The sequence below is a fragment of the Homo sapiens genome, chromosome 16, assembly GCF_000001405.40.
Source record: "Homo sapiens chromosome 16, GRCh38.p14 Primary Assembly".
NCBI classification, from domain to species: domain Eukaryota; kingdom Metazoa; phylum Chordata; class Mammalia; order Primates; family Hominidae; genus Homo; species Homo sapiens.
Window position 1 is genome coordinate 3,638,852 of NC_000016.10, and position 19,919 is coordinate 3,658,770.

At 52.7% G+C, this 19,919-nt stretch overlaps 2 protein-coding genes and 1 long non-coding RNA gene across 21 annotated transcripts in view, besides 8 other annotated features; 1 reads left to right on the plus strand and 2 right to left on the minus strand.

The window, feature by feature from the left end:
* DNASE1 (deoxyribonuclease 1) overlaps nucleotides 1-19,919 on the plus strand; it is a 53,702-nt gene that overhangs the window by 27,092 nt on the left and 6,691 nt on the right. Inside the window, exons 2-13 of one of the 17 annotated variants that reach the window (XM_047433677.1) lie at nucleotides 1,864-2,386; nucleotides 4,041-4,185; nucleotides 11,907-12,072; nucleotides 16,110-16,193; nucleotides 16,522-16,669; nucleotides 16,998-17,086; nucleotides 17,251-17,334; nucleotides 17,787-17,902; nucleotides 18,148-18,260; nucleotides 18,336-18,490; nucleotides 18,869-18,965; nucleotides 19,055-19,244. In XM_047433677.1, coding sequence (XP_047289633.1) covers nucleotides 16,523-16,669; nucleotides 16,998-17,086; nucleotides 17,251-17,334; nucleotides 17,787-17,902; nucleotides 18,148-18,260; nucleotides 18,336-18,490; nucleotides 18,869-18,965; nucleotides 19,055-19,102 — 849 coding nt within the window. In that variant the 5' untranslated portion in view covers nucleotides 1,864-2,386; nucleotides 4,041-4,185; nucleotides 11,907-12,072; nucleotides 16,110-16,193; nucleotide 16,522 and the 3' untranslated portion in view covers nucleotides 19,103-19,244. Of the gene's footprint in view, nucleotides 1-1,863; nucleotides 2,387-4,040; nucleotides 4,186-11,906; nucleotides 12,073-12,465; nucleotides 16,194-16,518; nucleotides 16,670-16,997; nucleotides 17,087-17,250; nucleotides 17,335-17,786; nucleotides 17,903-18,078; nucleotides 18,491-18,868; nucleotides 19,245-19,919 lie in introns of those variants that run through there. The other 16 variants (XM_047433676.1, XM_047433675.1, NM_001387135.1 and 13 more) reach the window with 16 other exon arrangements.
* Nucleotides 1,701-2,560: an enhancer, noted in NCBI's record as "H3K27ac-H3K4me1 hESC enhancer chr16:3690553-3691412 (GRCh37/hg19 assembly coordinates)". NCBI's record gives its function as "activates a minimal SCP1, AML or CMV promoter by ChIP-STARR-seq in naive H9 embryonic stem cells {active_cell/tissue: H9 hESC(naive)}" and the evidence as "EXISTENCE:reporter gene assay evidence [ECO:0000049][PMID:30033119]".
* Nucleotides 2,561-3,418: an enhancer, noted in NCBI's record as "H3K27ac-H3K4me1 hESC enhancer chr16:3691413-3692270 (GRCh37/hg19 assembly coordinates)". NCBI's record gives its function as "activates a minimal SCP1, AML or CMV promoter by ChIP-STARR-seq in primed H9 embryonic stem cells {active_cell/tissue: H9 hESC(primed)}" and the evidence as "EXISTENCE:reporter gene assay evidence [ECO:0000049][PMID:30033119]".
* Nucleotides 3,419-4,277: an enhancer, noted in NCBI's record as "H3K27ac-H3K4me1 hESC enhancer chr16:3692271-3693129 (GRCh37/hg19 assembly coordinates)". NCBI's record gives its function as "activates a minimal SCP1, AML or CMV promoter by ChIP-STARR-seq in naive and primed H9 embryonic stem cells {active_cell/tissue: H9 hESC(naive and primed)}" and the evidence as "EXISTENCE:reporter gene assay evidence [ECO:0000049][PMID:30033119]".
* Nucleotides 5,432-6,185: an enhancer, noted in NCBI's record as "H3K27ac-H3K4me1 hESC enhancer chr16:3694284-3695037 (GRCh37/hg19 assembly coordinates)". NCBI's record gives its function as "activates a minimal SCP1, AML or CMV promoter by ChIP-STARR-seq in primed H9 embryonic stem cells {active_cell/tissue: H9 hESC(primed)}" and the evidence as "EXISTENCE:reporter gene assay evidence [ECO:0000049][PMID:30033119]".
* Nucleotides 6,186-6,938: an enhancer, noted in NCBI's record as "OCT4-NANOG-H3K27ac-H3K4me1 hESC enhancer chr16:3695038-3695790 (GRCh37/hg19 assembly coordinates)". NCBI's record gives its function as "activates a minimal SCP1, AML or CMV promoter by ChIP-STARR-seq in naive and primed H9 embryonic stem cells {active_cell/tissue: H9 hESC(naive and primed)}" and the evidence as "EXISTENCE:reporter gene assay evidence [ECO:0000049][PMID:30033119]".
* Nucleotides 6,939-7,692: an enhancer, noted in NCBI's record as "OCT4-NANOG-H3K27ac-H3K4me1 hESC enhancer chr16:3695791-3696544 (GRCh37/hg19 assembly coordinates)". NCBI's record gives its function as "activates a minimal SCP1, AML or CMV promoter by ChIP-STARR-seq in primed H9 embryonic stem cells {active_cell/tissue: H9 hESC(primed)}" and the evidence as "EXISTENCE:reporter gene assay evidence [ECO:0000049][PMID:30033119]".
* LOC124903631 (uncharacterized) lies at nucleotides 11,785-18,916 on the minus strand. Its single transcript, XR_007064954.1, has 2 exons — nucleotides 18,846-18,916; nucleotides 11,785-18,671 (listed from the first exon to the last, which is right to left on the minus strand). It is a non-coding gene; the product is annotated as an uncharacterized LOC124903631 (long non-coding RNA).
* Nucleotides 16,017-16,544: an enhancer, noted in NCBI's record as "H3K27ac-H3K4me1 hESC enhancer chr16:3704869-3705396 (GRCh37/hg19 assembly coordinates)". NCBI's record gives its function as "activates a minimal SCP1, AML or CMV promoter by ChIP-STARR-seq in naive and primed H9 embryonic stem cells {active_cell/tissue: H9 hESC(naive and primed)}" and the evidence as "EXISTENCE:reporter gene assay evidence [ECO:0000049][PMID:30033119]".
* Nucleotides 16,545-17,072: an enhancer, noted in NCBI's record as "H3K4me1 hESC enhancer chr16:3705397-3705924 (GRCh37/hg19 assembly coordinates)". NCBI's record gives its function as "activates a minimal SCP1, AML or CMV promoter by ChIP-STARR-seq in naive and primed H9 embryonic stem cells {active_cell/tissue: H9 hESC(naive and primed)}" and the evidence as "EXISTENCE:reporter gene assay evidence [ECO:0000049][PMID:30033119]".
* The window catches only part of TRAP1 (TNF receptor associated protein 1), a 59,488-nt gene continuing 58,754 nt past the window's right edge, over nucleotides 19,186-19,919 (minus strand). For all 3 annotated transcript variants that reach the window (NM_001272049.2, NM_016292.3, XM_011522345.3), the window contains one exon: nucleotides 19,186-19,379. In NM_001272049.2, coding sequence (NP_001258978.1) covers nucleotides 19,278-19,379 — 102 coding nt within the window. In that variant the 3' untranslated portion in view covers nucleotides 19,186-19,277. The remainder of the gene's footprint in view (nucleotides 19,380-19,919) is intronic.

Below are 19,919 nucleotides of genomic sequence, written 5' to 3' on the forward strand. Positions count from 1 at the left end.
GGATCTTTTCTCTTTCAGTGTTTATTTGGTGTTAATCCCATCCAGTGCATCTTTTCATTTCAGGTTTTGTTTTTACTGTCTCTGGAAGTTCCATTTGGATCTTTCTATATCTTCCGTGTTCTCATCATGCTCATGTTTCCCTTTACCTTCTTAAATATATGCCGAACTATTGTCCTTGTCTGCTAGTTCCTTTATCTCTGTCGTTTCTAGGTCAGTTTCTATTGACTGTGTATGGTTATAGGTCATATTTTCCTCTCTTTCTTGCATGTCTGTTATAGCAGTTATCAGTTTATTGCGTCTCAACTCTAAATCCACCCTTCATTGCCACTTGTGATACTGGAACATTTCTCCCTTGCCCCATGCTGGTCTTTGTCAGTGGAAAGCGTTGAGAGGAAAGGGCATTTCTTGGTTCTTTGTGCTTTGCTTACAGCTGTCTGTGACATGAGCTGGTATGTGGGACATATAGGGTGCTCAGGCAGCTTTCAGGCAGGTCCCATAGCACCCCAGCTAGCCGCCTGGCAGCTTTCTGGTGAGTTCAACAGCACCCCCACACCAACCCCCCGGCTTTCCAGCACTCCTCAAGCAGCCTTCCAGCTCACTGTGTTAGCGTCCTCGCACGTGGTTCTTGGCCCTCAGTTCTGTCCTGGGACAGCCCAGTCGACGTCATCATCTAGTGCGTGCTTTTGATCACACCCTCTCCTAGGTCTGAATCCTTCCCTTAGTTACCTCCCTTTACTCTAGGATGTTCTGTGGATTTCTCTTTTGTTCCCTCTTAGTCAACTCCCTGTAAATAGTTAATAATTCTTATGCTAAACTTCCCTTGTTTAAGCTACCATGTGGTTTCTGTCCCCTGGTGGGACCCTGACTGATAGGCCCGGTTATTTTTTAAATTGGATGCTGAATATTGTGAATTTCAAATTGTTGGCCAGGCCCGGTGTGGTGGCTCATGCCTGTAATCCCAGCACTTTGGGAGGCTGAGGCAGGTGGATCATTTGAGCTCAGGAGTTCAAGACCAGCCTGGGCAACATAGTGAGACCCTGTCTCTGCAAAAAATGAAATAAATTATTGGCTGGTGAATTTTGTTGAATTCCTTTGAATAATGTTGGGTTTGGGTCTGGAATGCAGTTAAGTCCCTTGGAAGCAGCGATCCTTTAGAGACTTCTGAACTTTTCAGTGGGTCCAGTGCTGCTTTAGTCTGCAGTTGACTTAGCTCTATTACTAAGGGTGATGGCCTTCTGCGGAGTCTACCCAATACCCCACGAATTAGGAGATCTCTCCACGGTGGCTTGTGGGAACACAAAATATTCCCTGTGTGAACTCTGGGGATTGTTTTGTTTGCTACTTCCTCAGGAGTCTTTCCTGGGCCTTCTCATATAGTTTTTCTCACCCAGGCACAGATCTGTTTTCAGCTAAAGACTCCAGGAGACCCTCTGCAGATCCTGGCTCTGCCTCTGCAGCTGCCTCCTCCCCAGGACTCTGCCCTGCAAATAGCAGCAGCCTTGGCCTCCCTGAGCTCTGAACTCTGTCTTCCCAACTCAGAAAGACTGCAGGTTCCGGCTGAGTTTCCCTGCCTGCGCTGCAGCCTGGAACCCGCCTCCTGGCTGTAATTGGTGCAGTCATAGGATGTGCTCTCTTGTCTCCCTTATCTTGGAATCACTGTCCTGCACTGTTTTCCACCAACTGAAGGCAAAAGTATGTTGTCCAGTTTTCCAGGTGTTCAGGGTTCCCTGTTGCTGCATCCTACATGAGTATATAAACAGAGAACAAACAAAACAGCCTGTCAGGAGTTTGCTGAAGTTTCAGAATAGGTGGTGCTGGGTGAGCTGATGGGCATGAGTAACACTCCCCTTTTCCTTCTTTTAGTGACCACAATATGAATGGGAACAGCAAGATGGCAAAAGCTTGCTGAGTGGTACAGCGCCAGCCTGGGTAGTGGCCTCCCCAGCAAGTTGCATGTCACTAGCTTCCTGTGGCTGTCACTCCTGGGCCCAGGCACCTCCGAAGATCAGCACCTCCTCATGGGCTCAAGCGAGGACAGGAGCCCGTCACCCATGAGCTCTCAAGGGCAGAGCCACTGTCCTGTCTCGATGGCTCCACCGTGACTCCAGTGGACTTTGGACAGTGGGGAGCAGGCCCAACAGGGCCACTCGGATGTGGTCACTCTGGATTTGGGTGGATCAGCACCAAGCTAGACTCATCCCCAGCCCCCAGGTGCTGTTGCTGCTCCTGCGTGAGGCCCCATCCACAGCTGCAGCTGTGGCAGGGTGGCTAGTGGTGGCCAGCATGGCCCTGCTGCAGCTCCACGCTGTGGGGGGCGTGGCCCTGACCAGCAGCCACCCCTCCATGTGGGCCACAGGGGAGGAGCTTAGGAAGCCGCCTTGGCAAGGTGAGTGGACGCATTTACGTAGTGAGAGGTGAGAACCAGTGCCGCTCCCCAGAGCCCTGCGATTCCTGGGGAGGCTGAGGCTTGTAGACGCCTTGCCTGCTCTCCTCCTGGGGTGCTTTCCTGTTCACAGGGCTGGGACCTTGGAGGGAGAATGGAGGCAGAGCCTCTGTCTGCCCCCGCTCAAGGGCCCAGCACAGGCAGGCCCTCTGGGGAGCCCCTCAGTGGCTGGTGGGGAGTCTGGGGCAGGGTGAGGGACAGCATCTTCCACCGACCACAGGCTTGGGCAGCATCTGTCCTGGAGGCCATCCCTGTGGGAAGGCCTCTTTTGTATGACTCCTTCCCTGTGAAATGGCTTCTCCATGTAGTTCAGCCCCACAGGTGCCCTCAGAAAACACGAAGTGCTTTCTGCACGTGTCGCGGCCCCCAGAGAAGAATTTGGTTACAGAGAAGGTGACAGCTCATGGCTTCCTGAGGGTGGGGCAGTGGGAGAAGTCCCCAGGGGAGCTTGGGGCCCATGGCCTCCCACACCCTGGGTGGGGCTGCCCACTGGGAGGCCCACATTGCCTCAGTGTCCTGCACCCTACAGTTCAGGGTGCCTGGGGGCTGGAAGGAGAGCAGGGGCCGGGGACCAGTGGCTCACAGGGACCTGGGGAGAACTGTGGAACCAGCCTTCCCAGCCGTCCCACCCAGGAAAGGAGTGGGCAGAGTTGGAAGAAATACAGCACTGCCTTGGCCTTGGCCTCAGACCCGAGGGTCTGGCTATAGCCATGGTGGTGGCTGTGTCGTGGGGGCTGCATCATGGCACTGGCAGTGGCCCCAGGACTGTGGACTAGTGCAGACTAGCACAGAGTTCCTGCTGGGCTCGGGGTGGGAGCCCCTCCTGGCCGTGGAGACAGGCCCACGTCAGCCCCTCAGGATCTGTTGCCCAACAGCTCTCAGCCTTTTGCTTGGGGCCTCTTTGCGTGGAATGGTTCTGAGTTCTCTGCTATCTGGCAGCATCATCTTCTGAGCACTGCTCTGACAGATGCCTTAGTCCACAGACTGCCATGCCCTCCCATTAGGAGCCATCCTTGGGCACTCCTGTGTCACCCGTAGTTACTCCACCATCCTGCCAGGCCATGGGATGTGGAGGCTGAAGAGTCCAAATGGGACAGAAGCCTGTCCCCTCCCTCCTTCCTCAGAGAGGCCTTGGTTGGGCTCACACTGAGTAGGGGCAACCAGCAGCCGGAGAGAGTGGAGCTCTTAAACTGTGGCTCCAGAGCAGAAGGCCCCCTCTGACACACCTTTCATCCAGCATGTTCTCCGTGAGCACCTGCCACGGCCCAGGCCCTGCTCTCGGTGCTGCCGGCTGAGCCCAGCTCTCGTGGGGCTCGCATCTAACAGGAGAGGGTAACTACAGTGTGAGTGAGATGTGATTCGTGGTGAGGAATAGAGGAATAGAGGAATGAGGATGCAGAGGTCTTCTGTCCTAGAGGATGCTTGGCTGGGCAGAGGGAAACGGCCTTGTGTCCCTGGGGGACTGTCATTGTCGGGCACATCTCTGGATGGGACATCTGTGGCTGGAAGCTGTCCTTGTGGCCGTGCTAGTTGGACCAGCCTGGCTGGTTATCAGTCCGTGTCCTCAGCCCCTCCCCTTTTCAATGACTCATTCCAGGTTCCGCAGGCTCTGCGTCTGGTGTGGAAGAGCTCACGGGGAAGCACTCCTGCCCAGGACCCGAGGAGCCGGCCACCGTTCAGAAGGCCCCAGCTTGAAGGCCTGGAGAGCCGCCCAGCAGCACAACACAGGGAAGCTTGGGGAGGTGAGCCCCACTTCCTGCTCCCGCACAGGCTCTTCTCCCTGGGGCACTGGCTGGGCGGGATGCTGAGAAGCTGGGCATGGGCGGCTGCTGAGAGGCAGAGGAGCCAGAGAGCTGCAGGAAATATCCTGGGGCTGGGAGACCAAGATAGGGGCTCAGGGCTGCCGAGGCGGCTGGACCTGAGGGGCCAAGACCCCTGAGCGAAGGAGCCAGAGAAGAGAGACGGACATTAGGCACTGGTCTCTCTAGCCATTTGCTGATGAAGCTGCTTAGGGCAGAGGAGCAGAAAGTGGCTGAAAAGCAGAGTGGGATTTTTGGCAGTTTCGTGGAGTTAGGGAATAGGTTGGGGCCTGTCAGGTGCAGGGCCCTAAGAAATATCCCAGGCTCTCATCTGGGACCAACCCTGCCTCGCCGGGACAAGCCACAGCTGGGCTGTTCTTTCCAAAGACTGCAGAGGAGCTTAGTGTGGGTGGAGTTCCTGATTCACTGTCTCACTGCTGCCCACCACGGAGCGGAGTGGGTGAGCTGTCCCTGTCGGGGGACATGTCCAGACCCTCCGCCCTTCTGTCACGCACAGTCCCTGACACTCAGTTGAAGGCAACCAGGTACACTGGGAAAGGGGACCAGGGGAAGAAAGGTGACAGACCCACAGGAGACTGAGATACGGTTTTTGGACATGGACTTTAGTATGTTAATCACATCTGTTTTATTTTTTTATTTTATTATTTTATTTATTTATTTATTTTGAGATGGAGTCTCGCTCTGTGGCCCAGGCTGGAGTGCAGTGGCGCGATCTCGGCTCACTGCAAGCTCTGCCATCCGGGTTCACGCCATTCTCCTGCCTCAGCCTCCCAGTAGCTGGGACTACAGGCGCCCGCCATCATGCCCGGCTAATTTTTTTGTATTTTTAGTAGAGATGGGGTTTCACCGTGTTAGCCAGGATGTGATTTGCCTGCCTCGGCCTCCCAAAGTGCTGGCATTATAGGCGTCAGCCACCGTGCCCGGCCAAGCACAGCTATTTTAAATAATAGAGATAAGATGATGGATTGTTTCATAGAATTGGAATTCATAAAAAATATAATGGAAGTTCTAAAACAGAAAAGCACAATAACTGAAATTTAAAATTCAGCCAGGTGCAGTAGCTCACACCTGTAATCCCAGCACTTTGGGAAGCTGAGGTGAAGAGTTTGAGACCAGCCTGGGCAACACAGCAAGACCTTGTCTCTACTAAAAATTTTTTAAAATTAGGCCGGGTGCAGTGGCTGACACCTGTAATCGCAGCACCTTGGGAGGCCAAGGCAGGCAGACCACTTGAGGTCAGGGGTCCAAGACCAGCCTGGCCAACATGGTAAAACCTTCTCTCTACTAAAAATACAAAAATTAGCCAGGTGTGGTGGCGGGTACCTGTAATCCCAGCTACTCAGGATGCTGAGGCAGGATAATCGCTTGAATCTGGGAGGCAGAGGTTGCAGTGAGCCAAGATTGCACCCCTGCACTCCAGCCTGGGCAACAGAGTGACACTGGGTCTCAAAAACATAAAGATTTTACAAAATTAGCCGGGGATGGTGGCACATGCCTGTGGTCCCAGCTACTTGAGAGACTGAGGAGGGAGTATTGCTAGCACCTAGGAGGTGGAGGCTGCAGTGAGCTATGAATGTGCCACTGCACTCCAGCCTGGGCGACAGAGCGAGACTCCATCTCAAAAAAAAAAAAAGAAATAAAAAATCCAGTAGGTGTATTTACCAGCAGATTGGAATCAGCTGAAAAAAGGATTAGTGCTCTAGAAGAAAGGTCAATAGAAAATACATAGTGGGGCTTGGCATGGTGGCTCACGCCTGTAATCCCAGCACTTTGGGAGGCCAAGGCAGGCGGATCACTTGGGCTTAGGAGTTCGAGACCAGCCTGGGCAACATGGCAAAACTCCATCTCTACAAAAAATACAAAAAATTAGCCAGGCCTGGTGGCGCATGCCTGTGGTCGGTCCCAGCTTCTTGGGAGGTTGAGGCAGGAAGATCACTTGAGCCTGGGAGGCTCCAGTGAGCCAAGATTGTGCCACTGCACTCCAGCCTGGGTGACAGAGTGAGAGACCCTGTCTCATTTCTTTAAAAGAAAAAAAAAAGTAAAAAGAAAATCCCTTGCAACTACCACCACAACCAGCCCACTTTACACTGTGTGTCCTTTTCCTGGACCCTGAGGGCGCCCTCCCTTTTCCTTTCTGTGGCCCCCTAGCCTTGGACAGGGAGGGGGCCCTGCTGAGAAGGCCTTTGTACTTGGGAGAGACCGAGGTGGCTTCGGAATTGGGGGATTACTTTTCATTGCGACCCTTGTTGGAAACATCAGCACACTGGAGTCCAGTTGCAGTTCGCCTTGTGGCTTTGTTTAAATCCTCATTGGGAATATGAGTTCTCATTGTCCTCAGGGACTCAGGCTGCGGGTGTGCTAACCTCCCTGGTGAGAAAGTGGCTTTTTAGACAAACTTCTTTTCATTTGCATCTCTCCTCAAAGCAGAATGCAGAAAGCGGCAGCACTGGGAGCGTGTGGGGAGGGACGGGGCAGCCGGCGGAGGCTGAGCCAACATGCCGTGGTTCAGGCCCACACCTCGTGGAAGGCAGAAGGCGAGTGCTGACATTCCATAGCAGGCCGGGTTGGGGAAGGGGCGGTCTGCTGCCTGCTGCCTGCTGAGCGTGACTGTGCAGCTGTTGTAAGTCTTTGTGATTCTGATGTGTGGTGATCTGAGAAATTTCCCATCCTGGGTTAACACTTTCTTTATTATAAACAGAAATTAATTCATGAGGGATGGCGCAACCAGGCTGGGGCGCAGACCAAGGGCAGTGCACTGGGCTGTGATGACTGCATCCTGCTCAGGTTGTGGGACATGGGGTTAAAACACTGTCACGGCAAAGACACTGGCCTTTTACCTGAGTACAGGATAGTAGCCCTTTGTCCTCTAAGATGCTCTGTCCCTGGGGCCAGCAAACACCTCCCAAGGGAGAGGAGAGAAAGAACCCCGAGTAGAGCCAGCCGAGTAGAGCCAGCCGAGGGCAGATAGGTCTTGTAGGGCTGTGGGAGCCACTGCAACCCTGGGAGCTTCCTGTCAGCTCAAGCCCAGTGCCCAGAGTGTCCAAGTGCCACCTGGATGCCCTGCAGTGTCCACTGTGCTGGGTTCTCAAGGTTTTTCTCTGGGGGGGGTCTGCGGGGAACCTGGAGCTGCTGGGTAGGAGGTGGGCTTGTGGCTCAGCTGTGTCCAGTGGCTGGCTGTGGAGCGCCTCCTCTGCTCCAGTAATATTTTCATGGGCAAGAAAGACCACTACTTTCTTGGCCACCGCTTCCTGGAGCTTGTGTTCCTGGAAGCCAGCCATAAATAAGCCGGCCATAAACGAGGGTAAACAGGTGCCTGAGTAAACACACCAGAGCAAATGAGTCATATGGGCCGGCAGAGATGAACCTGGGGCCATGGCGGGTGTAGGGGTTGGGTGGGGAGAGGATGTCCTCTGAAAAGGTGACATTTAAGCTGAAACTGGAATGACAAGAAGGCCCCAGCTCTGCAGGCAGAGCGGAAGGCTCAGAGCTTAGAATCACGTAGGTCATGGAAAGCATTGGATTTCGTGTTAGGGACAATGAGAAACTGGTGACAGATTTTAAGTAGGGGAATAAAGAGATCTAATTACACATTTGCGAGATGTTCTGAGAGCTGTGGGGACGGCTGGGACATGTACCTGGAAGCAGGGCAGCCAAAGGGAGAGGCAGTGATGACGGGTGGTATGGAGGCTGCAGAATCTGGAGGACGTGCAGGCTCAGGGTGCATGGTGCGGGCGGGGCTGAGGGGGAGCGGGGCCTAGGATGATCTCAGGTATTCTAGCACCTGGATGGTGGTGGCACTATAGACATGAGCAGGGAAGGCCAAGGAAATAATCTGGGGCCATTGTGGCTGCAGCAAGTTTATGATGCCTGATGCCCGATGCCCATCAGACCTGTCTGAGGGGAGATGTCCCAGCCACAGCTGAAGTGTGAGACAAAGCCCCTGCTTCAGAGGACAGCAGGGGAGTGTTTCCTAAGCAGGCGTGACCAGACGGTGTTTCTAAGATGGAAACCTGGGCATTTAATTTTTTGTGTGTGGTTTCATTTTTAACATTAACTAATGGTTACCTTATTTTTGGATGTTGGATCACATCTGGCAGTATTGCTTTAAAAGCTTTTGATTTGTAGAATTGTAAGAACTAATCATGGGATTTTTTTTTTTTTTTTTTTTCTTTTTGAGACAAGGTCTAGTAGCTCTGTCACCCAGGCTGGAGTGCAGTGGTGCAGTCATGGCCCATTACAGCTTTTACCTTCCAGGCTCACACAATCCTCCTACCTCAGCCTCCTGAGTAGCTGGGACTACAGATGTGTGCCTCCATGCCTGGCTAACTTTTTAATTTTTTGTAGAGACAGGTTCTTGCCATGTTACCTAGACTGGTTTTGAACTTCTAAGCTCTAGCAGTCCTCCCACTGTGGCCTGCCAAAGTGCTGGGATTACAGGCATGAGGCACCACACGCAGCCAGAAAATTTCAGCATATTCAAAACTAGTATTACACATCTTCGTGTACTCATTACCCAGCCTCAGGGCTGGCATTTTGAAGCAAATCCCAGGTACTGTACCACTTCATCTTTCAATATTTTATTAATAGTATGTGACTGTAAAATATAAGGCCAGGTGTTGTAGCTCACACCTGTAATCCCAGCACTTTGGGAAGCCAAGGCAGGAGAATCACTTGAACCCAGGAGTTGGAAAGCAGCCTGGGCAGCACAGTGAGATCCCCACCCCATCTCTACCAAAAAAGAACAATTTTTTTTTTTAAATTAGCCAGGTGTGGCTGGGTGCAGTGGCTCACACCTGTAATCCTAGCACTTTGGAAGGCTGAGGCGGGCGGATCACTTGAGGCCAGGAGTTTGGGACCAGCCTGGCCAACATGGCAAAACCCCGTCTTTACTGAAAATACAAAACTTAGCCAGGCATGGTGGCGCACATCCGTAATCCCATCTACTAGGGAGGCTGAGGGAGGAGAATTGCTCAAACTTGGGAGGCCGGAGGTTGCAGTGAGCCATGATGGCACCACTGTCCTCCAGCATGGGCAACAGAGCAAGAACCTGTCTCAAAAGAAAACAAAACCAGGTGTGATGGCACATGGCAGGAGGCTGAGGCAGGAGGATCCCTTCAGCTCAGGCTGCAGTGCACTACAATTGTGCCTGTGAAAAGCCACTGCAGTGGCCGGATGCGGTGGCTCACGCCTGTAATCCCAGCACTTTGGGAGGCTGAGATGGGCGGAACACAAGGTCAGGAGATCGAGACCATCCTGGCTAACATGGTGAAATCCCGTCTCTACTAAAAATACAAAAAATTAGCTGGGCGTGGTGGCGGGCGCCTGTAGTCCCAGCTACTCAGGAGGCTGAGGCAGGAGAATGGCATGAACCCCAGAGGTGAAGCTTGCAGAGAATGGTGTGAACCCCAGAGGCGAAGCTCGCGTGAACCCCAGAGGCAGGCTGCAGTGCAGAGCCAAGATCGCGCCACTGCACTCCAGCCTAGAAAGAAAAGCCACTGCACTCCAGCCTAGACAACGTAGTGAGACCCTGTTCCTAAAATAATTTCTTTAAAAACAAAACATAAGGACCAATAAGAGCCATTACAAACTTAAGAGTTTACTATTAATACTTCCCAGTTATGGGTCAGTGTTCTGCTTTCCCTGATTGCCTCTTACATAATTTGTTACACAAATGTCTGTTTGCATGAATAAAAGATTGGATGTTTTATAGGATCTAAGGTCCATACATTTTGTTTATGGATATATCTCAAGTTTTATTATCATTTAACATCCATCTCAAAATGTGAACTTTTTTTAACCTATGAGTTCTGCCTCTCTTCTTCTTTTCATTTTGAAATCTATTGATGAGCCTGTCCTTTGCCATCTACGATTTCCCAGTCTGGGTCGTACCGTGTCCCCATGGTGCTGTTGAACGTGAGCCTCTGTCCTTGTATTTGCTTTAAGTTGTCATTTAGATCTAGAGGTTTGATCAGATTCAAGATTGTTTTGGCAAGAACTCTCCTAAGTGCTGCTGTGTGTGGTCTTGGATTAGAAGGGACAGAGGCTGTCTTTTGTGATGTTAGCAGCCACTACATCAGGGCTGAGATTAGGGACGGCAAAATGGTGACTTTCAGGTCTAGCATTCCTTCCTCGTGTATTAGCTGGAGTCCACCTATCTAAAGAGAGCCTTCTCGAGCTATGGGTTACTGGGCAGTCCTTTTTGCATAGGAAAGGCAGAATACCGCCTTGATCCTTTGACTTTATTTGCCTTTTTGCAGAAGAACAAGTTGAGTTCCTAGCATCCCCCTAAGGTGGCTGATAATTATTTTATGTCAACATGAACTTATGTATTGAAACACAGTGATATGTTTAATCTGTTGCAATTATTCTTTTCAGTAGCAATTTGTAGAACTGAGAATTTCTTTGTGACAGAACGTTGAAGCAGTGGTGAATGATGAAGGATAGAAAAGAAGTTATATTCAGTAAAGTAGGAAATCTAACTCAGGCATATGCATTATGTCAGATCAGAAGCTTCACACTTTCTCAGTTGAGAGCACTCTTGATTAAGGTTCAATAATTATTTTAATAGTAAGCCAAAAGAAATCCCTGATAGTGGTGCCGGAGGAGACAGGTTGTGTTTTTATCTTGTGGCCTGGGTAGTGTCCTGGGACCCTCTGCCCCATCTGAGTCAAGTGTTGTGGGATAAAGGAATCTCTCAGGGCGAGGAGCTTCTTAAGTTAAATCGGTAGAAATTTAGGCATGACATGGGCCTTCAAATGTGTGAGGAGCTGTATCATTTTATTTCTCGGTGTGTTTTCCCCAACTTCTAGTTGATAAAAAAAAAATTCTTAAAGAGTTTTCGTATGTGGGAGCTAAGGTGGTCTTGTAAAATTTCAAGTCATCCTTAAATAAAATGACCCGCCTGAGAACTTGCTCCCGCTAAGTGGCGAAATCAACTGGAGTTGGTTCCTACAAGTTTTGTTTATTCTAGTTTTGTTTGTAAGTAGGTTGTGTGAGTTAATTCATGGATATTTACTATATGTCTTTTAAATTAGAAAACATTTGTTATTATGTATGTCCTTTTAGATTTTACCTGCAGCTCATACTTTGAAATCATCACCCAGTAGTGTCTTACTCTAGCATCGTCTAAATCTGAGCATCATCTGGTGGAATCTTAAATTTCAGTAGAAACCACGAGTTATTAATACATCTTCCACTCAAGTATCAATTTCAGAAGGAAACGTAAATGAATATTCTAAATAAGGCTAATTTGTATTAATCTGCCTTTATGTTTGAGGGAAAAAAAGCTGAGACATTGCATGAAAGATGATGCAGGATATACGCTGATCTTTTGGCCCCAATGAGCTATTTGAACATTGTCCTGTTTATTGTTAGTTTTCTTCATCATTTATTATATGGTCAATTTTTGAATTCCTGTAATATGAAACCTTATTCTATCTTTTAACTTACTGTTACCTAAAGTTAGTAAGTCCAGATTATATGGTCATTCAAAAAAAAAAAAAAAAAGAAAAGAAAAAGAAATCCCCCACAGTTCCATTTATTAAATAAGTAAACCCCAATAATAAGCATTTGTGTCCTGGCAACTTATAGTGGATGTCTAGAAAAGTAATACATAAAGAGAAATGTTCATGTTATTTGTTTAGTCATGGGATGTGTGTGCCTGTCGAGCACCTCTTCAACTTGGAATCTGGTAGAACACCGCCACCCTCATTGCCTCATTTTTCCACGTCGACCTTCACAGTAATTGCTTGTTCAGTGACTGCCACAACCCAGCCTGGCAGAGAGAGGGAAGATACCCTATAAAGCAAGGTAACGTTAATGTTGAGACCATGAATGGCCTTGAGCAGAGCAGAGTATCATTGCTTCCTTCAAAATTCAGAAGGATCTGATGGTGCTCTGTGAGTTCATGGGGGTGCCTCCGTGCAGGTTGGAAACCACAGCTGTGCGTCCTTCCCGCTTTCCCTCTTGATCAGTAGAAGGGTACCCTCCCTGGCCTGCACGTCGCTGGGTCACACAACACTGGCTGTCGTTGCACAAAGCCACGGCCACCAGCGTTCCTTTGAGGCCATTTGTTTCCAGCCATGGTGCCTATAGGATTTTTCCTTTATCCTGTAATTTCAGCCAAATCAGAGCATGTGACCTGGCTTAGATGTCAATATAATTGTTGTTATGTGCTCTTTTCCCTTCCTGTGTCTGTGACAGGTTTAATTTAACCTGAGAAGGCTGCAGATCCTCGGGGTTGGTGTAAAAACACCTCATCCTGATCTGAGAAGGCGGTCAGCTTTTCTCCTCGTTGCCGTTGGCTGCCAGCACCCATTCTCTGTGGATGTGAAAATCCCAGAAGGGCTGGGCTTCCTTCTTGGGCATTCCCCAGGCCTATCTCCAGAGTGGGGCCCAGCATGGGAGGATTGTACCCCACTCACTCCCCTGATGTGGGGCTTGGACCTACAGCTCGACAGCACCCATGGAATGTGGGCAGAAGCGACAGCAGCCAGCTCCGCCTTGGCCTTAGGGCGGCACGTGTTCTGCTTGTGCCCTGGGAGCCTCCACCTTCCACACTGTGGGAAGAGGGTGCCCAGGGAGCTGCAGTCTCTCCAGCCCAGCCCCAGGACGAGGCCCAGGCAGCAGAGCCACCCCAGCAGACCTGGCAGTGTGAGAGAAATGCATGTGTATACACTGAGTTTGCAGGTGGCTGTTACATGGCAGCATTGACTGACACAGACAGAAAAGAGATCCACGAGGGAGAAGTGAGAGTGCTGGAGACTCCACAAGCCACAGGCTGCAGGGGCAGGATGGCTTCTTAGAAGGTGAAATGATTGTTCTGGGAATCTATCAGAGGAAGACATAGAGGCTCCAGACGGTTGAAGGCCCAACAGTGATCCCAGACGGGCCCCATGTCAGACCAGGCTCCTCCAGGGCTGTGCTGCCCTCACCAAAGCCCGTCCTGAGGGCAGCCACACAGCAGGCAGCACTCGCCATTTGTACAAGCGAGGCCCAAGTTCCAGCCTTCCTTCTGGCAGGTAGAGGAAGCAGGGGCACTATGCCTGGGAGTTCCTGAAAGCAGATGGGGCAGCATTTGGTCAAGAGCCAGGAGGGGATGACAGACCAGAGGGGAACCCTCGTCCCACGTGCTGAGCACACGTAGGGGGTTGGGCACTTGCTCTGTGAGCTATAATTGGTGTCCCTGTGCCCCGCCGGAAGCTGCACCAGGCAGTTTCTTGGTGGAGGACAGTGGCCGCCCTCTAGCTTTACTCCCTTCCCCGTGATGGGTCGCTGTCAGATGTGTGTCCAGGAAAGGCAAACACCAAAGGCAGAGGACTAGTCCCTACACCGAATACTCCGGTGGCCTTGCTTGGGGGCTGGGTTTTGACGTGCTGGAGGCTGTCCTAGACTTAGAGATTAAAAACAGGGAAGAACCATTGCTGAAACCTTTGGAAAAGCCTGCAATGGGGCCTCTGGCAGCCTGAGGAGTGGTGGTGTTTCCATCTGGTAGACGCCGTCTCAATAGGAGGGACAGATGAGTGCACCAGTGCTGCCAGCCAGAGGCGTCTGTTGGCGTGTCTTTATGGAATGGGGTGCCAGTCTTGTGGAGGGTGGTTTACCTTCCTGTTTCTAGTCCCCACTGGGCCTGCCTTCTGCTTCATGGCCAGCTGGCCAGACCGAGCACTTTCCTGACTTTCGACCTTGGCCCCTGCTGACTCTTGCCGTTGAGGCCTCCTGCAGACCCCATTTGTATTCATTTCCTGCAGTTCTCATACCTGAATCCCGCCTGGACTTCTGCCAAGCCTTCCAGGCCCTCCTCCCCCAGGGGGACCACAGATGCTACGTGCAGGGCTGTCCTTGGAGGGCCAGCACAGCCCCTTCCAAGTGGGCAAGACCCAGGGGTGGCTCAAAAGATAGCTGTGCCCTAGCCCTGGAACCTCTGAATGTTGATTTTTGTAGCAAAAAAGGACTTGCAGATGTGAGTAAAGGCTGTTGAGATAAGGACATCCTCCCTGCTCTCTGGGAGGACCCCAAATGCAGGTGCACAGATCTTAAGAAGAAGAGGCAGAGACTGGGGTGATGCAGCCACAACTAAGGAAAGCCAAGGATTGCTGGCAGCCTGCAGAAACTGGAGGGCAAGGAGCATCCCCCAACCGCCCGGAGCCTCCAGGAGGCGCAAGGTCCTACTGACTCCCTGACTTCAGACGTCCAGTCTCCGGAATTTTGAGAGGATCCATTTCTGTTATTTTAAGCAACCAAACTTGTGGTAGTTTCACCAGTCTCAGGAAATGAATACGAATGGAAAGTCAAAGATTCCAAGAAATGAGTGGCGGGGTGCGGTGGCTCACACTTGTAATCCCAGCATTTGCGGGAAGATTGCTTGGGCTCAGGACTTGGAGACCTTGTGTCTGTGAGAAACTTAAAAAATAGGCTGGGTGCGATGGCTCACGCCTGTAATCCCAGCACTTTGGGAGGCCGAGGCAGGCGGATCACAAGGTCACGAGTTTGAGACCAGTGTGACCAACATGGTGAAACCCTGTCTCTACTAAAAATACAAAAATTAGCCGGGTGTGGTGGTGCGTGCCTGTAATCCCAGCTACTCGGGAGGCTGAGGCAGAAGAATTGCTTGAACCCAGGAAGCAGAGGTTGCAGTGAGCCGAGATAGTATTACTGCACTCCAGGCTGGGCAGCAGAGCAAGATTCCGCCTCAAAAAAAAAAAAAAAAAAAAAAAAAAAAAAAAAAACTGAGCATGGTAGCATGCACCTGTGGTCCTGGCTACGCCGGAGGATTGCCTGAAGCCAGGAGTTCAAGACCAGTCTGGACAAAAGAGCAAGACCCCATCTCTACCAAAAAAATTTAAAAATTAGCCAGGCATGGTGCCGTACCCATAGTCTTAGCTACTCAGGAGGCTGAGGAGGGAGGATTATCTGAGCCCTGGCGGTTGAGGCTATAATGAGCCATGATTGTGCCACTGCACTCCAGCCTTGGCAACACAGTGTGAGACCCTGTCTCAAAAACAATAAAAACCCAAAACAAAAGAACCAAGAAATTACTGGACCTGAGGCCTGGCCTTTAGCTGCTGCCCTGCCCTTGTGACCTGGTCACTCGGGATCCCCTGGGCCTAAACACACAGCCTATTGTCTACCTCAAGAAGGCTCCCCACTGCTTGGCTGGCAATTGGGGTGGGCTTTGCAGGCCCCACCTGTCCTGGCCCCACGGCGCTGGTGCTGCAGGCCCCCACCACTGCTTGTTCCGAGCTCCCCAGCCTCCTGCAGAGTTGCCTGCACCTGATGGCGATGAATCAGGAAGGCAGGCGTGTCCTGGGCCACAGAGCAGTCATGGCTGTCAGCCACCAGGGGGCTCCATTTGCAACTTTGGATGTGGCTTTGGCCTCTTTGTCCAAAGTGACCTTGGGGCCCCCAGACAAGAGACAGGGAGACTGGAGCCCAGCCCCACCCTCCCGCACATACCTGGCCCATCCCTGCCCTATCCTGGAAGATGGGGGCCACCACACGTGCAAGGGACACGGGATAGGAACCTTTGGCCTTGTTATCAGACATTTTAAAACTAAGTGCAAACGTGATTATCAGGTGCAGTTTTTACAGCAGCAAGAAACCTGTGCTTACAGAAAGAAACACGTGCTAGCAACCCACCTATGCGGAAAGCCACACAGAGCCATTGTTTTCTGCACTCTCAGGTGACGGCTCACATTTGCCCCAGGGAAGGTCACAGCTGCCTGAACTTTTAAAACTCCCAGACACGCACTGCCTGTGCAGGATCCGGAGCCCAGCAGCACTGCCAGGGCCTTGAAGTGCTTCTTCAGAGACCTTTCTTCATAGACTACTTTTTTTTCTTTAAGCAGCAAAAGGAGAAAATTGTCATCAAAGGATATTCCAGATTCTTGACAGCATTCTCGTCATCTCTGAGGACATCACCATCATCTCAGGTGAGCACCAGGTGGAGTGCCTCTGGGTGACTGGCCGGTTTGGAGCAGGGAGGGAGGCTTAGAGTCTCATCCTCCAGCAGCGAGTGAGGCGGAGGCTCCAGCGTCCCTCCCGGGCGGGTTTTCTGGTGGATGGAGGAGTGACTCGGGGTCCTCTACGTGGTGCCAGCTGTTTGGCTTTCTGGACGTTGTAGGAAAGGGTTTCCCCCGCCTGCGTCCCCCTGACCTTGAGCTCCACCAGCCCCTGCCAGCTGGGCTCCAGAAGGCTGGAGTGCTGTGGCAGGGATGACGTCTCACTTCTGTTATGTCTCTGTGCCCTGTGCTCTCCCAGGATGAGGGGCATGAAGCTGCTGGGGGCGCTGCTGGCACTGGCGGCCCTACTGCAGGGGGCCGTGTCCCTGAAGATCGCAGCCTTCAACATCCAGACATTTGGGGAGACCAAGATGTCCAATGCCACCCTCGTCAGCTACATTGTGCAGGTGAGGCCAGGGCAGCCTCCCCCCAAAAGCAGAGGAGCTCTGGAGTCTAGGGCTGGTGGGCAGGGCCAGCCCTATGGAGCCACAGGGTGTCGGGTGTGGGGTACTGAGCACCACTGCTCCCAGCACGGTGGAACAGGCTCTTGGCTGTGGACCAAGGTCCTCATCCCTGCTGTGCTGTCCCTGGCTGGCAGCAGGAGCCCAGGCAGAAACATGAGGCTGCGGTTAAACCGAGCAATGCCACGAGCATCAGCTGTGGCTCCCTTTGTGGCGCTGTAGGGTCCCTGGGTGGCACCAGCCCTGCTCAGCACCACTGTGGCCCTGCCCCCAGATCCTGAGCCGCTATGACATCGCCCTGGTCCAGGAGGTCAGAGACAGCCACCTGACTGCCGTGGGGAAGCTGCTGGACAACCTCAATCAGTGGGTGACAGTGGCAGGGTCATAGGAAGGTGACATCTCGTCCACGGCACAGCCTCACTTCACTTGGGCCCCAAGGGTGGGGACCTGGGCACAGCCTCGCTATCGGCAGCCAGAGGGGTCCCCTATGGCCCCCGCCACTGGGACCTTTTGTTTCTTCAATCCAGGGATGCACCAGACACCTATCACTACGTGGTCAGTGAGCCACTGGGACGGAACAGCTATAAGGAGCGCTACCTGTTCGTGTACAGGTGGGTGGTCTAGAAAGCCAGGAAGCCCCTCCCTCACCTGGGAGGGCCCCAACAGAGCAGGGAAGTAGTTTGTCCTATTAGTTTGTCCTATGGCAAGAACCTGAGGCTTCAGAGCAGGGTCCAGGGTGGAGTGAAAACACCCCAAGGTCCCGGACCAATGGGTTGAGCAGGTGCCTGGCTCCCCCGCCCTCCTGTCGCCTGGGTCCCGGACCAATGGGTTGAGCAGGTGCCTGGCTCCCCCGCCCTCCTGTCGCCTGGGTCCCGGACCAATGGGTTGAGCAGGTGCCTGGCTCCCCCGCCCTCCTGTCGCCTGGGTCCCGGACCAATGGGTTGAGCAGGTGCCTGGCTCCCCCGCCCTCCTGTCGCCTGGGACGCGACGCCTGCCTCCTGGGAAGCAGGAGTGGGGCAGCTTCCAGCCTGGGGTCACCTCCTCCTGCCCGGCCTTCCCGCAGGCCTGACCAGGTGTCTGCGGTGGACAGCTACTACTACGATGATGGCTGCGAGCCCTGCGGGAACGACACCTTCAACCGAGAGCCAGCCATTGTCAGGTTCTTCTCCCGGTTCACAGGTGGGTGCTGCCTGGGCCAGGGTGGGGCTCGGCTTGGCGCTTATGGCCTCCACCCCCTCCTAGGGAACCTGGAATGCCTGTGTCACACACTGCCCTCCCAGTCCCTGGGGCTTGGGTTTTCCATTCAAGTCATTTGGAAAATATCCACCCCCCGGGGGGACTGTCATGATACATAGTTCCAGCTGACATGGTGACTGAACCTGCCCCCAGGGAGTGTGCCTCACACGACGTGGCTGTCTCCACAGAGGTCAGGGAGTTTGCCATTGTTCCCCTGCATGCGGCCCCGGGGGACGCAGTAGCCGAGATCGACGCTCTCTATGACGTCTACCTGGATGTCCAAGAGAAATGGGGCTTGGAGGTGAGGCCCTCCCAGGGGCAGTGGGCACCAGCGGCCTCCGCATGTCCCAGGGCCACAGGCAGCGTTTCCTGGTAGGACGTCATGTTGATGGGCGACTTCAATGCGGGCTGCAGCTATGTGAGACCCTCCCAGTGGTCATCCATCCGCCTGTGGACAAGCCCCACCTTCCAGTGGCTGATCCCCGACAGCGCTGACACCACAGCTACACCCACGCACTGTGCCTATGACAGGTGAGCAGGGCCTCGCGCTTAGGGCAGACTGAGGGCACCTCCAAGGGCAGCCGTGACTCATAGGTCGGGCTTCAGAAGCCTCAAAGCCTTTGAACACTCACCCAACTGAGCTTCAGTTGATCCACTACAGGGAACAGAATAACAAGAGCCACGATTTTTAGGTTTTTTCGGAAAAGCACATCTGGGGATAAGAGGAGAGGCAGACACCTAGGCTGTCATGTGGTTTCCACATTGAGGGGCACAGACCAGGGTGTGCAGTTTTGGGCACCCACAGACCTGCACTGGCAGGTCCCAGGGCTCTTAGTTTAGTTCCTGCGGGTGCTGAGCCAGGCCCATGTGTGAAAGGGGAACCTACTTTCTCTTCCCAACACCCATCAGGATCGTGGTTGCAGGGATGCTGCTCCGAGGCGCCGTTGTTCCCGACTCGGCTCTTCCCTTTAACTTCCAGGCTGCCTATGGCCTGAGTGACCAACTGGTATGTGTCCTCCCTTGCACAGCCACATGAGGATGGGACACAGGAGCTCAGGTAGGCTCAGCCCAGACCCTGTGCCCACTTGCCTGCAGGCCCAAGCCATCAGTGACCACTATCCAGTGGAGGTGATGCTGAAGTGAGCAGCCCCTCCCCACACCAGTTGAACTGCAGGAAGAGAGGACCCATCCTGCCACAGGACCCAGAAAAAAAGCCCAACACACACTCGGGTTAAGAAATACCTTTAAATTTAGGTAAATAAAGCTCAAGGAGGTGGGGCTGTCATCTGTGGTGTCAGTCCTTCTGGCCCCCTGGCTGTCAGTGTCGCTCCAGGGCCTTGACAAGCAGCTCATTCAAGCGGCCCACCATGGCCCTAGGGTCGTCAACAAGTCCAGCAGCAATCATGGCGTTCTCGTATATCTGAAAGGCAAGAGGAGAAACCCATTATGAGGGGCATGGGGCACCTTTTCATTTTTTTTTTTTTGAGACAGAGTCTCACTGTTGCCGAGGCTGGAGTGCAGAGGCACGATCTCGGCTCACTGCAACCTCAGGTGATCCCCCCGCCTCCCAAAGTGCTGGGATTACAGGCGTGAGCCACCACGCCTGGCCATTTTTCCGTTTTTAAAACAGAATTTGGCTGGGCACGGTGGCTCACGAGGTCAGGAGATTGAGACCATCCTGGCCAAGATGGTGAAAACCCCATCTCTACTAAAATACAAAATTAGCCAGGCGCATGCCTGTAGTCCCAGCTACTCGGGAGGCTGAGGCAGGGGAATTGCTTGAACCCGGGAGGCAGAGGTTGTAGTGAGCCAAGATCGCGCCACTGCACTCCAGCCTGGCAACAGAGCAACACTCCATCTCAAAAAACAAACAAACAAACAAAAAGACAGGATTTTAGAGGAAACCGCTGTTCCACCCTGAAGGCAGGCTGGCAGGGCTGGTAGCCTGGGTCCCTGCAGT